This window comes from Homo sapiens, chromosome 16 (genome assembly GCF_000001405.40).
Source record: "Homo sapiens chromosome 16, GRCh38.p14 Primary Assembly".
Lineage (NCBI taxonomy): Eukaryota > Metazoa > Chordata > Mammalia > Primates > Hominidae > Homo > Homo sapiens.
This window is the reverse complement of record NC_000016.10, coordinates 3,121,061-3,134,992: the sequence shown is the minus strand read 5'-3', so window position 1 is coordinate 3,134,992 and position 13,932 is coordinate 3,121,061. Positions and strand designations below refer to the sequence as shown.

The following is a 13,932-nucleotide window of genomic DNA, read 5'->3' as shown; positions in this document are numbered from 1 at the left end:
CCCCAGCTCCCAGAAAGCCGTTCGTCCACTGAGCCCGCCTTCTCCATGACCGATGGCCAATGAACAGGAAGAATTCTCAGGCTGCCTATTAGAAGACAGAAACTCCATACGCGTCATACACCTGCACCCGGGAGGAAAGGCGAGGCTCTGCATCTAGATTTACCTCGTTCTCTTTTGTCTCCGCTTTTTTTTCACATTTCCTTGCGACCCTGGCCCTTGAGCGACAAAAAGGGGAAGCCAAGGCTGGCCCGAGGAACGGAGAGGGCACATGGCCTAGCCACAAGTGGAGCTTCTGCTCCGCCCGAAGGGATGCGCTGGAGCGGCCTCTTCCTTCTGCCACGGTCTTTCTTTGCCAACTAGTAGGTGAGGGCCGAAAGGCCGCGGGCCGTGGAGCTCGGGCCGGGGAGACTCTTTTCTAGCCTCTTGGGTCCCGCTCCTCCCAATTCCCTGGAGAGGCGTCGAGCTTGCTGGGAAGTGCCCTCGGGTAAGGGGCGCGGAGCCTCCTGCGGCGATCCTCTGTCTTCGGGTCGCCTTAGCAGGACGCGGCAAGCGGGACACTGACCTGGCCGGAGTCCCGCGTTCTCTCACCAGCTGCTTTGTCCACGAGTTGCTGCTGGGCGTCAGGGGTCCCACGGCCCGGAGGGATCTAGAGCAGGGGGGCTCGGGGTCCTTTCCATACCCTCGGATCCTCTCCCACTCTCTCCACGCCTCGACCCGGAGATGATTTCAGGCTCCAGATCTCTTTCATAAATGGAAAGAGTTTTTTTGGTTTGTTTTGTCTTAATTATGTAGGTGTTGCATGCTTGGAAGAGAAAATTTAGAAAATTAATTGGAAAACCATAAAGATAGCTTTCTCGTGATAGCCACAAGGCTTGCTCCCTCATTCTGCTCATATGTCACCCCCTCAAGGAGGCCTTCCCCAGCTCTGTAAACAACCTGTGCTCGGCGTTAACTTTTCTCCCTAATGTTTATCACTACCTGACATATACGTGTTTCCCACGACTCAACGATAAGTGTTCATGAGGGCAGACACTTTTTAATGCCCTATGACAAGCACCTAGAATTGTGCCTGGCACATGGTAGATGCTTAGTAAATATTTGTTTAATGAATGAAGGTAAAAAACATTTCTAATACGACCATCCAGGAATAAGTACTATTCATGTTTTAGTGTGTTCTTACAGTTTTACTGTTCAGACAGTTATATGCCTGTGAATATATATTATATATGTGTGTATATATATATATATATATATATATATATTTTTTTTTTTTTTTTGAGACAGAGTCTCGCTCTGTCACCCAGGCTGGACTGCAGTGGCGCGATCTTGGCTCACTGCAACCTCCGCCTCCTGGATTCAAGCGATTCTTCTGCCTCAGCCTCCCGAGTAGCTAGGATTACAGGCATGTGTCACCACGCCCGGCTAATTTTGTATTTTTAGTAGAGACGGGGTTTCTCCGTGTTGGTCAGGCTGGTCTCGAACTCCTGACCTCAGGTGATCTGCCCGCCTCGGCCTCCCAAAGTGCTGAGATTACAGACGTGAGCCACCGTGCCTGGCGGAATTTTCATATTTTAAGTCCCCCACCCTTGGACATTTAGATTTTTTCCATCTTTCTGTATTTGCAGATATGCTTCTACGTACACCTTTATTCATTTGCTTGAACATTTCCCTGAGAAAAACTAGAAATGGAATTGCCAGATTACTTTGTGTACATGTTTCCAAACTGTCCTCCAGAAAGAATGTAATGCTTTGAACTTCCACTTGAGAATCAAATGTTTACCTTCCTCTGTTCCTCCAGATTTGGACATTTACAGTGTTCAGCCGTTGTTGTGGCATTCCAATTCAATTGGGAAACAGCTTGATGTAGCGTCCCCATAAGGTCCACAGTAATTAAATTTTTTTTTTTTTTTTTTGGTGCGGTAGTGCAATTTCATGGCTCACTGCAACCTCCACCTCCCAGGTTCAAGCGATCCTCCCATCTCAGCCTCCCTAGTAGCTGGGATTACAGGTGCACGCCACCACACCAGGCTAATTTTTGTATTTTTAGTAGAGATGGGGTTTCACCAGGTTAGCCAGGCTGGTCTTGAACTCCAGACCTCAAGGGATCCGCCTGCCTCAGCTTTCCAAAGTGCTGGGATTACAGGTGAGAACCACTGCACCCATCCTATTAAACTTTTAAATCATGATAGTTACCATGTATAGAGTGTTTATATGCCAGGCATTGAGCTAAGTCTTTTACGTCTTGCGCTCATTCTGTGCAACAGCCCAATGGGAGAAATTCCATGAATATAGTTACCATTTCCTTGATTTCTAGAGAAGCTGGATATGTTTTCTTTTTTTCCAGTATTATTTCTATTTATCCTTTTGTGAATTGTCTGTTGTTATTTTCATTGGAATATTCTCTTTTTTTGACAGAGTCTCACTCTGTTGCCCAGGCTGGAGTGCAATGGCACGATCTCGGCTCATTGCAAACCTCTGCCTCCTGGGTTCAAGCAATTCTCCTGCCTCAGCCTCCCAAGTAGCTGGGATTACAGGCACCCGCCACCACGCCCAGCTAATTTTTTGTATTTTTAGTAGAGACGGGGTTTTGCCATGTTGGCCAGGCTGGTCTCGAACTCCTGACCTCAGGTGATCCACCCATTTCGGCCTCCCAAAGTACTGGGATTACAGGCGTGAGCACCTGTGCCCGGCCACACCATTATTTTGAAGAGAAAATTTGATAAAAATAATTGGTCAGTTGTAAAGATGGTTAACTACCCAACTGGTAAGAGAGATTTCTAAGAGTTACAGAATAGCAACTGCAGGAAGGAACTTGTGCCCTTAGGACTGAGGAAGTAAAAAGGAGGGAAACTTGGAAACACGAAAGAGCCCTTCCCCTTTCAATTCAAGGTGGAGACTGGACCTCAGAAGAGGGAGTGGGTGCCCCGAGAACTCACAGCTAGCGGACAGTGGAAAGGGCAGGAGCCGGACCAAGGTGAGGACAGTGGAACTGAAGGCCGCTGGTTACCTCTCCTGCCCTCCGCTGGCCACAGTGGAGAAGACAGCCCCTCCCTCCTGCTCTGACCTGACAGTGTTCATCCATCGCCCTGTATTAGCGAAGAACAACATCAAGCTGGCTAGCAAGGAACTGTATACAGGGTCCAGCTGGGTATCACACTGGATCTCACCCAAAGCTTAGATGTGATCCAGCTCAGTATCACAAAGCAGAACGAAAAGGATGTGTTTGGGCTGAGAGGCCATACATTGGTAAGTGGCACATGAACTGTATTTTCTATTGAGCATTGCTGGTATATGGCAAATTTGCATAAAATTATATTGAAATTGACTACCGGATTGCACTTTCTTGTTCCTTCTGATAATTTTTCACGTGTTCTTTTTCTTTCTTACTTTAGATGGAGTCTTGCTCTGTCGCCCAGGCTGGAGTCCAGTGGCGCGATCTCGGTTCACTGCAAGCTCTGCCTCCCGAGTTCATGCCATTCTCCTGCCTCAGCCTCCTGAGTAGCTGGGACTACAGGCACCTGCCACCACGGCTGGCTAATTTTTTTTTTTTTTTTTTTGAAATGGAGTCTTGCTCTGTTGCCCAGGCTGGAGTGCAGTGGCGCGATCTCAGCTCACTGCAAACTCCGCCTCCCGAGTTCATGCCATTCTCTTGCCTCAGCCTCCCGAGTAGCTGGGACTACAGGAGCCCACCACCATGCCCGGCTAATTTTTTGTATTTTTAGTAGAGACGGGGTTTCACCATGTTAGCCAGCATGGTCTCTATCTCCTGACCTCGTGATCCACCTGCCTCGGCCTCTTTTTTATATTTTTAGTAGAGATTTCACTGTGTTAACCAGGATGGCCTCGCTCTCCTGACCTCATGATCTGCCCGCTTCAGCCTCCCAAAGTGCTGGGATTACAGGCGTGAGCCACCGCGCCCGGTTATTTGTTTATTTATTTATTTATTTTTTGAGACCGAGTCTTGCTCTGTAGCCCAGGCTGGAGTGCAGTGGCGCCATCTTGGCTCACTGCAACCTCCACCTCCCACATTGAAGCAGTTCTCCTGCCTCAGCCTCCCAAGTAACTGGGATTACAGGAGCACACCACCACATCTGGCTAATTTTTTGTATTTTTAGTAGAGATGGGGTTTCACCATGTTCGCTAGGCTGGTCTGAAACTCCTGACCTCATGATCCACCCGCCTTGGCCTCCCAAAGTGCTGGGATTACAGGCAATTCTGCTGCCTCAGCCTCCCAAGTAGCTGTGATTACAGGTGTGTGCCACCATGCCCGGCTAATTTTTGTATTTTTAGTAGAGACGAGGTTTTGCCATGTTGCCCAAGCTGGTCTCAAACTCCTGACCTCAAGTGATCTACCCGCCTTGGTCTCCTAAAGTGTTAAGATTACAGGCATGAGCCATCGGGACCGGCCCACTGTTTTTTCTCGCTAGAAAATACAGTCTAAAGTGGCCAGGTGCGGTGGCTCACGCCTGTAACCATCCTGGCTAACACGGTGAAACCCCAGCTCTACTAAAAATACAAAAAATAAGCCGGACGTGGTGGCAGGCACCTTGTCCCAGCTACTCGGCAGGCTGAGGCAGGAGAATGGCGTGAACCCAGGATGCGGAGGTTGCAGTGAGCTGAGAACACGCCACTGCACTCCAGTCTGGATGACAGAGCAATACTCCGTCTCACAAAAAAGAAAATATAGTCTATAAATAATGAAGAAAGTAAAGTGAACCTGGGAGGTGGAGGTTATAGTGAGCTGAGATCATGGCACTGCACTTCAGCCTGGGCAGCAGCAAGACTCCGTCTCAAAAAAAAAAAAAAAAAAGAAATATGCGAGCTGCTAAGCTAGGCAGTTCTGGCTCAAGATCTCTCATGATACTGCAGACACCACACCAACGAGGACCCCAGTCCTCTGGCACTGGAGGACCCACTTAGAAGGCGGATGACTCACGTGGCTCTTGGCAGGAGACCTCAGTTCCTCCCCACATAGGCCTCCCTATAGGACTGCTTGAGTGTCCCGTTTACCAAATGATCTAAATATGTTCCGGTTTTGATTGGCTGCTCTGCAATGTGGGCCGTTATCTAGCTGATTCGGTGGGGCCTGAAGTGTCAGTTCCTGCCGCAGGGATGTTATATGGAACCTTTGGCAGGCCGCTACAGACGAATCATAATATAAACCTGTGCTAGTTATTGATTACGTCCCAGCTCCTGCGTTGCCTGCTCTGTGAAATGGTTCTGGCCCTTTAGTTTTTCCTTTACCAGCTGGCATGATCTTAAGCTTTGTCAGTAGAGGGCGCTGGAGAGACATTGCAGGAGACGAGTTTCCCTTCCTGCTTCTGGTGTGTTCTCTCTAGGCTCCGGCATGACGGGTGACTTCTTCCGAGTCTGGCTTCTGCAGCACACAGGGCTTCGCCAGCACCCAGCTCCTGCAGCATGGGCAGCTCCTGTGACAGCAGGCGCCCGCAGCCTGCAAAGCGTCTCCAGTGCCGCCGCCTCAGTGAACCTCAACCAGCGGCACCTAGCAGCTTTCTCTGCCACCCTCTTCAGGTAGTTCTGTAGCAGCGCGTTTCTCATGAGACACTTCCCTGTGAGCAGCTTTTTCTACCCTTGAGGATGGATTTCCAGCAAATTCTGCCCATGTGGTACCACAGCCACTTCTCTGCCATTCAGTGAAACTGCCGTTGTGCCCTCTTCAAGGTCTGGATCTAAGCCCAGGGACCAGGAAACCTCTTGCTTGAGTGCTGGAACTCAGGCCAGAAGGTATGGCTGCTGCTATGTGCTGTGACCAGAGAATCAGAGTTCTCTTTACTTCTTACCAGCCAACCTCTTGAAAATGCCTTTTTGTTTTTTGTTTTTTTTTGAGACGGAGTCTCGCTCTGTTGCCCAGGCAGTGCAGTGGCTCACTGCAACCTCCGCCTCCTGAGTTCAAGTGATTCTCCTGCCTCAGCCTCACAAGTAGGTGGGATTACAGGCATGTGCCACCACGCCCAGCTAATTTTGTATTTTTAGTAGTGACGGGGTTTCTCCATGTTGGTCAGGTTGGTCTCAAACTCTCGACCTCAGGTGATCCACCTGTCTCAGCCTCCCAAAGTGCTGGGATTACAGACGTTAGCCAGAGCGCCCAGTCTAAGCCCTTTATAGCTTAATTCTATATATTAAATTTTCCCAGTTCAAATTACTGTGTGCTTCCCTTCTCCTGATTGGACCTTGCTTGATACAAAATTAGTACAAGGAGTGGTCTCAAGAGATAGATGCACAAAGAAGGGATATGGGGACGGATTTGGGTATTTGGGCTTGAGTGCAGACTGAGCTCCTTGACAATGAGAAATAGGATATGTATTAGGGTTCTCCAGAAACAGAATAACAGAATCTATATATACATGTGTATGTGTGTGTATATATATATATATAGAGAGAGAGAGAGAGAGCTTTTATGTGTGTGTATATGTATATATATAAACACACACACACTAAGGTATTGCCTCACATGATTATGGCAGTCGAGAAGCCCCACAATCTGCTATCTGCAAGCTGGAGACCCAAGGTCAGTGGTGCAGCATTTTTTTTTCAGATGGGGTCTCCCTCTGTTGCCCAGGCTGGACTGCAGTGGCACAATCACAGCTCACTGCAGCCTTGACTTCCCCAGCTCAAGCAAGCTTCCCATCTCAGCCTCCTGAACAGCTGGGACTACAGGTGGACACCACCATACCCAGCTAATTTGTTCTATATATATATTTTTATATAGAGATGGCCTCTCCCTGTATGTCCTAGGCTGATCTCGAACTCCCCTGGGCTCAAGCTATCCGCCTGCCTCCGCCTCCTAACAGTTTTGTAATTTTAAGGCCTGAGAGCCAAAGGCCAATGGTGTAGATTCCAATTCAAGACTCAAGGCCTGAGAATCAGGAGCACAAGACCAGGAGATCAATGTCCCAGTACCCAGGTCTCAAGTACTCAGGCACAGAGAGAATTCAGCCTTCCTCTGCCTTGCTGTTCTGTTTAATTCCATACGGATGGATGATGCCCACCCGTGGTGAGGGCCGTCTGCTTTACTCACTCAGCCAATTCAAACGTTAATCTCTTCTTGAGAAGCCCTCACAGACACACCCAGAAAGAATGTTTAAGCAGCTGTCTGGGCATGCCTTGGCCCAGTATAGTTTAACATGAAATTAACCATCACAGGGTGCTGGTTATCCACGGCTTGCAGCGATATCACAATTAATCAAGCAGCCACCTGCAGGTGATGATGAAGTGCCAATGAAAGCATGTACCTGGTGGGAACAAGTAGCTGCTGCACTCAGCCATTATGGTGTCCACAGATGTATAATGATGATTATACAACCATGGTATGGGATACATTATTTTTAGTGCACTTGAGCATTTACAGTGAGAAAATGACAAGCCCAAGTCCCTTAGCTCAGTTCAAGTCATGGTCTGAGAACCTGAGAACTTCTGTGATAGCTTAGAAGCAGCTCTTATAGCCACAATACTGTCACTGAAAATCAAACACAAAACTTAACTGTAGAGTCGCTGAATAATAATGACAGCTAAATTCCCAGGCCCAACAAATCTCACGTGAAGGTTACTGCGCTGATTGGTAAAGAAGGTGATCCTGGCCAGGCACAGTGGTGCAGTCCTGTAATCCCAGTTACTCGGGAGGCTGAGGCAGGAGAATCGCTTGAACCTGGGAGGTGAGGTTGCAGGGGGCCGAGATGGCGCCACTGCACTTCCAGACTGGGCGACAGAGCGAGACTCTATCAAAAAAACAAAACAAAACGAAAAAACAGAAGGTGATCCTGAAATTCAAAGTGGGGATATATGTTTGGACCCAGATGAAATTGACAGTCTTGATTCCTTAGGTCACTCTGAGCCTCCTTTACCAGTAGAAGTAGTTTGCCCTCAGTATCTGAATAGAATAGCCTTTCTCTGCTTGAAAACCTTAGGATAACCTTCCCAGGGGCAGAAGACCTAAAAGGGGATGTCCATTCTCCTGAAAACCCACCACAATTGCGCTCCATTGCCAGTAAACTCATAACAACTAGGGTCAAATCTCAACACAATCTATATATGTGTGTGTGTGGAGAGAGAGGCTGCACAAGCGTGTGCAAGAGACAGAGAGAGAGGGGAAAGATACACGTTATGACCCAGGAGGAAATAGCTTATACACTAAAATAATTCACTTTGCTGATATAAACTAGCAGAAACCTGGGGGATAGATGCAAGAGTAGATTCTAAGGATAGCATACCAAAGTGGACAGAATATAAAAAGAGATGAGATTAGACCGGGTGCAGTAGCTCATGCCTGTAGTCCCAGCACTTTAGGAGGCAGAGGCTGGAGGATCATCACTTGAGCCCAGGAGTTTGTTATCAGTTTGGGCAACATAGTTGAAACATAAAATACAAAAATTAGCGGGGTGTTGTGGTGAGCACCTATAGTCCCAGCTACTCAGAAAGCTGAGGTGGGAGGGTCGCTTGAGCCTGAGAGGTCAAGGCTGCAGTGAACTGTGATCATGCCACTGCACTTCAGCCTGCGTGACAGAACAAGACTCTGTCACACACACACACAAAATGAGAAATCAAATTCAATGATATAGGTGCATTTAGTAGACTTCAAATTTAATGTTAGCGTGTGTGGCTGTTGGTGGCTTTTTAGCAGTTTACTCCATTGGTTGGCTGAAATTTGGACTCATTGGTGGCCTTCAGTTAACAAGGTTGAGATGGCTGAAGTGGCATGACAGGAAAGAAGGAAACCAAAGGCTCCTTTTCCTTAGGGAGATGGAAATGTTGAGTGGCCTTATCATGCATGACCTGTGTACCCACCCCATCCCCAGCTATCTTTTACCAGTAGACACTGGCTTCACTAAGTCTCTGAGAAAGGCATTAATGACAGGATCACCTGAATCCTTGAAGAGCTCTGTGGTTGCTCTGTGAGATCTGTGTTCATCTCCATGACTAGCCTAGGGCTTTGTTAGTTGAGAACATAAAAATTGCTGTCTTAAGTTACTGAGGTGCAGGCCATTCATTGGGTGCTGCCTTTACACCAGGCAGGAAGCCCGCCTGACCCCATGTCTCAGGCTGCCAGAGGAGCGTGCGATGAGGAAGGCTGGACTGTCTTCACAGGACACCAGGGAGAAGCCTCAAGCCACTGCCCCCTGACAAGTCGCAGCTCTCCAGCCTGTCTCCTCACTCCCCTCCCCTCCACATGGGGGGGTTGGGGTGGGGGCGGGGAAGGTTCGGGGCAGGGGTCATTTCAGCTACTGGGCACCAGTCTCCTCCTCATGTTTATCCTGTTCCCTTTGCTTGAAAGGTTCGTACTCCAGATCCTTGTAAAACCGCTTCTCACCCTTTGAGTCTCAGCTTAAATGTCCCCTCCTTGGAGGGGTCTTCCCTGACAATGAAGCTCCGACCGTCCTCTCCTGTTTTACCCAGTTCATTTCTTTCTGGCATTTGTAACTACTTGAAGTTAAAGTGTGTGCCATGTATGTGTCTGTCAGTTTCCCCCACCACACTGGAACCCCATGAGGGCAAGGGTCTTGTCTGGAATCTTCCTCACTTACAACTCAACATTTAGCAAAGGACCTTTGCTAAATTAACAGGCATTCATTTTGTATTTGAAAAATGAACTAGTGAGGCCGGGCGTGGTGGCTCACACCTGCAATCCCGGCACTTTGGGAGACCGAGGCGGGCTTGAGGTCAGGAGTTCGAGACCGGCCTGGCCAACATGGTGAAACCCCATTAAAAATACAAAAATTGGCTGGGCGCGGTGGCTCACGCCTGTAATCCCAACACTTCGGGAGGCTGAAGCGGGCGGATCACGAGGTTAGGAGTTCAAGACCAGCCTGACCAACATAGTGAAACCCCATCTCTACTAAAAATACAAAAATTAGCCGGGCATGATGGCAGGCGCCTGTAATCCCAGCTACTCGGGAGGCTGAGGCGGAAGAATCGCTTGAACCAGGAGGTGGAGATTGCCGTGAGCTGAGATCACGCCACTACACTCCAGCCTGGGCAACAGAGCACGAATCCATCTCCGAAAAACAAACAAAAAAACGAATGTGTGAGGAACGCAGCAAAGCCCCTACAGTTAACGTTTGCCGCCCTCTGCCCCTCAGGCACTCCAGAGCCGCGAGCCGCCTCGCACAGCCCGCGCGTTTCTTCTGCTCCCCCGGAAGAGGGCACGGTCTCCTTCCTGGCCGCTCTCTGCCGGCCGTACCGCACGACAGCTGGCAGCACCGTCAGCCCCTGCTCGGGAGCTCGGAAGATGCTCTAGCTCCGCGGCCAGTGCAGCGAACCCACCCAACCCTGGTGCAGGAGCCATTGCAGCAAATTGACAGGGAGTCCTCTGGGCCGGAAGTGGCCCTGGCCCTGCGCCGTATGCTCTCTAGGACTGCAGGAGGCTCGGCATCTCGGTGATAGACCCAGGAAGTCAGTGGCTGGGCGGGGCGGGCTGTGAGGACTGAGGTCTGTAGCGAAGGTCCAGCCCCGTGGTCTTCGCTTCGTTCGGCAACGAACGCCCAGCGAAGGGTAAGACGAAATGCTTCAAAGACAGGATCCTGGAGCAGTTGCCGGGGCAACCGTGCGGCTTGGGGCGTGGCGGTGAGGGGAAAAGGGCCGGGCACAAACTTCAGCCGTGATTGGCTGGTTCTGCTGGAGCCGCCTTTCTCCCCGCCCCGATGCCTGAATGGCTAAGGGCAGGGGGGCGTGGCCTCCTGGATTCAGTCATGCCGGCGACGGGGCCGCCGAGCGAGAGGCTGGGTCCATGGGACCCTGCAGGCTCTGGGCTTCGCTACACGGCCGGGCCCGGGAACTGGGAGACGGTGTCCTAGGCTAGGACGGCGCTGAGGCCGACGCCCCCGGCCCAGAGGGGCAGCGCCGACAGCCGATCCCTGAGCGCTTGCAACAGGAACCTGGGGCCGCAGGGAAGCAGGTGGGAAGCCAGGATGCATACATCCTGCCTCTCCGCCTCCGCCCTCACCGTGCTCCTGACACCGCATCAGTGATGATCTGGTGGAGTTCTCCAGTGGCCGAGAAGCCCCGAGGAAGCCAGGGAAACCGCTGAACCTCCTCATCCTCTACCCAGGGAGACACCAAGACCCTTACCTGGCTTCTTCCCTCCAGCCTCCTACCTCTCAGTGACGCCCATCACCTACCAAACTATGAGCACCCTTCAGCCTGGCGTTCCAGGTCCTTCCCTGGCACAGCCCCTACTCCTCCCTGTCTTATTTGTGCTTGTCGAATATTTCCGAAACTGCCAAGTTCCACTCTTAAGATACTCTTTCCAGATCTATCCCACAGTGGGGCCTCCGGAGGGATCCCTAGAGGGAGAAGTGGGCCAGCCATAAGGAATGGCCATCTGCAGGCACCCTCCACGGGGCCCTTGGAACCCGTGCTCCTGCACTCTGCCACGAAAGGGGAAACGTTTCACCAGGAAACTGTCTGCTGTCTGGGCTCCCTGGAGGCCAGAGTGAAGTTTTTAAATGACTCCCTAGATCACTCAACGGTCTTTTTTTTTTTTTTTTTTTTTTTTTTGGAGACAGGGTCTTGCTCTGTTGCCCAGGCTGGAGGGCAGTGGTGCGATCACAGTTCACTGCAGCCTCAACCTCCCAGGCTCAGGCGATCCTCCCACCCTAGCCTCCCAAGTAGCTGGTACTACAGGCACGCATCACCATGCTTGGCTAATTTTTTTTAACTATTTAGAGACGAGGGTCTTGCTGTGTTGCCCAAGCTGGTCTCAAATTCCTGACTTCAAGCCATCCTCCTGCCTCAGCCTCCCTAAGTGCTCAGATCACAGGTGTAAGCCACCACACCAAGCCTTGACAGACCTCTGAATCACTCAGGTCCTGACATCTGGTCCCTGGCACGCTGGCCACGGAGCCTAAGGAACTGAAATTAAAGCAAGCAGCACTCACTGTGCAAGTGAGTACTCTGCTCAGCTCTCTTGCCAAGTGATGACGGCTTCCAGGGTCATTTTAGAAACTCTCCCACCTCTGTCTCTCTCCTTACTTAGAAAATGAGCTCTTTTGAGAGCAACCCTGCTTTACAAATGAGTCTCCCTCACCCCCTCACACTGAACCAAGCAGAGCAATCCTATTTCTGGCTGAGTGATTGGGACCATGAAGACAAACTGAAGGGAGGAAACAGCTTTTTTTCTGGCCTTGGAAATAATCATTTAATTCAACCAATCCTGCCAGCATCCCTAGCCTAGATTCCAGAGACCTCCTGGATACCATCAAGTCCTGCCTGGGCTTCCGCTAGTGAGCAGCTCCCTGGTGTCCCGTTGATTACATCCCACCCCACCCACATCTCTAGCTGAGTCTAACATTCCTGAAGGTCAGGTCTATTGTCCTACTCTCTCTCTTTTTTTTTTTTTTTTTTTTTTTTTTGACACAGAGTCTTGCTCTATCATTCAGGCTGGAGTGCAGTGGCAAGATCTCAGCTCACTGTGACCTCCACCTCCTGGCTTCAAGCAATTCTCCTGCCTCAGCGTCCCAAGTCGCTGGAACTACAGGCGCCTGCCACCATGCCCAGCTAATTTTTGTACTTTTAGTAGAGACAGGGTTTCACCATGTTGGCCAGGCTGGTCTTAAACTCCTGGCCTCAAGTGATCCACCCACCTAGGCTTCCCAAAGTGCTGAGATTACAGGTGTGAGTCGCTGCGCCTGGCCTTGTCCTCCTCTTTTTAGATAGCCCTGCATGGGGCCTAGTAGTGTACACCAGTAGTCCCAGCTACTTGGGAAGCTGAGGTGAGTGGATCACTTGAGCCCAGGAGTTCCAGACCAGCCTGGGCAACATAGCAAGACCCCGTCTCTATTTTTAAAAAGACAAAAAAAAAAAAAACAAAAAACAAAAAAAAACCTGGGCTAACAATGCACACTTACATTGTTGTAGAGAGCGGTATCTACAGTGCTTGGCCCTGTGCCTGGAAGAGCAGCTGCTTGACAACTGGCAGCTATGATTACTCTTCTCAGTCTACCGTCCTCAGCAAGCCACTCTTTTCCTCAGGATCTGGGAGCCAACCAGGGCTGTGGCCACCCTGGTGGCCCCATAATCCACAAAGACAGGTGGGGTCTCAAGGGCCTTCTTGGTGCAGACATCCTCGTGGTCAGTTGGTGTCAGAGCTGAAAGTTATCTCGGGAGCTGGGCCACAAATATGGGATGATAGGCAGGATGAGCCCATCCCCACCCAGGGAAAAAAGCAGAGAATGGGAGTTGGGAGCTACAGAGGTTAAAACCAGGGAAAGAGGTCAGGCACGGTGGCTCACGCCTGTAATCCCAGCACTTTGGGAAGCCGAAGTGGGCGGATCACCTGGGGTCAGGAGTTCAATACCAGCCTGGCCAACACGGTGAAACCCTGTCTCCACTAAAAATACAAAAAATTAGCCAGGCATGTGGCACACACCTGTAGTCCCAGCTACGCGGGACACTGAGGCAGGAAAATCGCTGGGACCCAGGAGCTGGAGGTTGCAGTGAGCCAAGATCGCACCTCTGCACTCCAGCCTGGGCAACAGAGCAAGACTCTGCCTCAAAAAACAAAACAAAAAACAAACAAAAACAGGGGGCCAGGCGCAGTGGCTCAGGTGTGTAATCCCAGCACTTTGAGAGGCCGAGGTGGGTGGATCACAAGGTCAGGAGATCAACACCATCCTGGCTAACATGGTGAAACCCTGTCTCTACTAAAAATACAAAAATTAGCCAGGCATCGTGGCGTGCGCCTGTAGTCCCAGCTACTCAGGAGGCTGAGGCAGCAGAATCACTTGAACCCAGGAGGTGGAGGCTGCCGTGAGTGGAGATCAGGCCACTGCACTCCAGCCTGGGCGACAGAGCAAGACTCTGTCGCAAAAACAAAAACAAACGCCAGCGGAAAGACCAGGAGTAAATCAAAGCTCAGAGCCAGGCAGGGGCGAGCAGGGCGAATTATATAGGACATATACCAGGAGGCCAAGGAGGTGA

General features: G+C 50.5%; 1 long non-coding RNA gene across 1 annotated transcript, besides 10 other annotated features; it reads left to right on the top strand.

Moving 5' to 3' along the window:
- Positions 14 to 203: an enhancer, noted in NCBI's record as "active region_10305". NCBI's record gives its function as "activates an Ori minimal core promoter by ATAC-STARR-seq in GM12878 lymphoblastoid cells {active_cell/tissue: GM12878}" and the evidence as "EXISTENCE:reporter gene assay evidence [ECO:0000049][PMID:35858748]".
- Positions 111 to 9,464, top strand: ZNF213-AS1 (ZNF213 antisense RNA 1). The gene is made up of 6 exons (NR_110900.1): positions 111 to 363; positions 2,051 to 2,143; positions 2,890 to 2,974; positions 5,340 to 5,532; positions 5,683 to 5,745; positions 9,027 to 9,464. It is a non-coding gene; the product is annotated as a ZNF213 antisense RNA 1 (long non-coding RNA).
- Positions 214 to 383: an enhancer, noted in NCBI's record as "active region_10304". NCBI's record gives its function as "activates an Ori minimal core promoter by ATAC-STARR-seq in GM12878 lymphoblastoid cells {active_cell/tissue: GM12878}" and the evidence as "EXISTENCE:reporter gene assay evidence [ECO:0000049][PMID:35858748]".
- Positions 5,251 to 5,545: a silencer, noted in NCBI's record as "tiled region #2057; HepG2 Repressive DNase matched - State 1:Tss, and K562 Repressive non-DNase unmatched - State 2:TssF". NCBI's record gives its function as "represses a minimal TATA promoter and a strong SV40 promoter by Sharpr-MPRA in HepG2 and K562 cells {active_cell/tissue: HepG2 | K562}" and the evidence as "EXISTENCE:reporter gene assay evidence [ECO:0000049][PMID:27701403]".
- Positions 5,251 to 5,613: a biological region, named in NCBI's record as "Sharpr-MPRA regulatory region 2057".
- Positions 5,297 to 5,554: a silencer, noted in NCBI's record as "fragment chr16:3179440-3179697 (GRCh37/hg19 assembly coordinates)". NCBI's record gives its function as "represses an EF-1alpha promoter that drives an FKBP-Casp9 reporter gene in an ReSE screen in HepG2 liver carcinoma cells {active_cell/tissue: HepG2}" and the evidence as "EXISTENCE:reporter gene assay evidence [ECO:0000049][PMID:32094911]".
- Positions 5,394 to 5,613: an enhancer, noted in NCBI's record as "active region_10303". NCBI's record gives its function as "activates an Ori minimal core promoter by ATAC-STARR-seq in GM12878 lymphoblastoid cells {active_cell/tissue: GM12878}" and the evidence as "EXISTENCE:reporter gene assay evidence [ECO:0000049][PMID:35858748]".
- Positions 6,751 to 7,301: an enhancer, noted in NCBI's record as "OCT4-NANOG hESC enhancer chr16:3177693-3178243 (GRCh37/hg19 assembly coordinates)". NCBI's record gives its function as "activates a minimal SCP1, AML or CMV promoter by ChIP-STARR-seq in primed H9 embryonic stem cells {active_cell/tissue: H9 hESC(primed)}" and the evidence as "EXISTENCE:reporter gene assay evidence [ECO:0000049][PMID:30033119]".
- Positions 10,157 to 10,636: an enhancer, noted in NCBI's record as "active region_10302". NCBI's record gives its function as "activates an Ori minimal core promoter by ATAC-STARR-seq in GM12878 lymphoblastoid cells {active_cell/tissue: GM12878}" and the evidence as "EXISTENCE:reporter gene assay evidence [ECO:0000049][PMID:35858748]".
- Positions 10,157 to 10,716: a biological region, named in NCBI's record as "ReSE screen-validated silencer GRCh37_chr16:3174278-3174547".
- Positions 10,447 to 10,716: a silencer, noted in NCBI's record as "fragment chr16:3174278-3174547 (GRCh37/hg19 assembly coordinates)". NCBI's record gives its function as "represses an EF-1alpha promoter that drives an FKBP-Casp9 reporter gene in an ReSE screen in HepG2 liver carcinoma cells {active_cell/tissue: HepG2}" and the evidence as "EXISTENCE:reporter gene assay evidence [ECO:0000049][PMID:32094911]".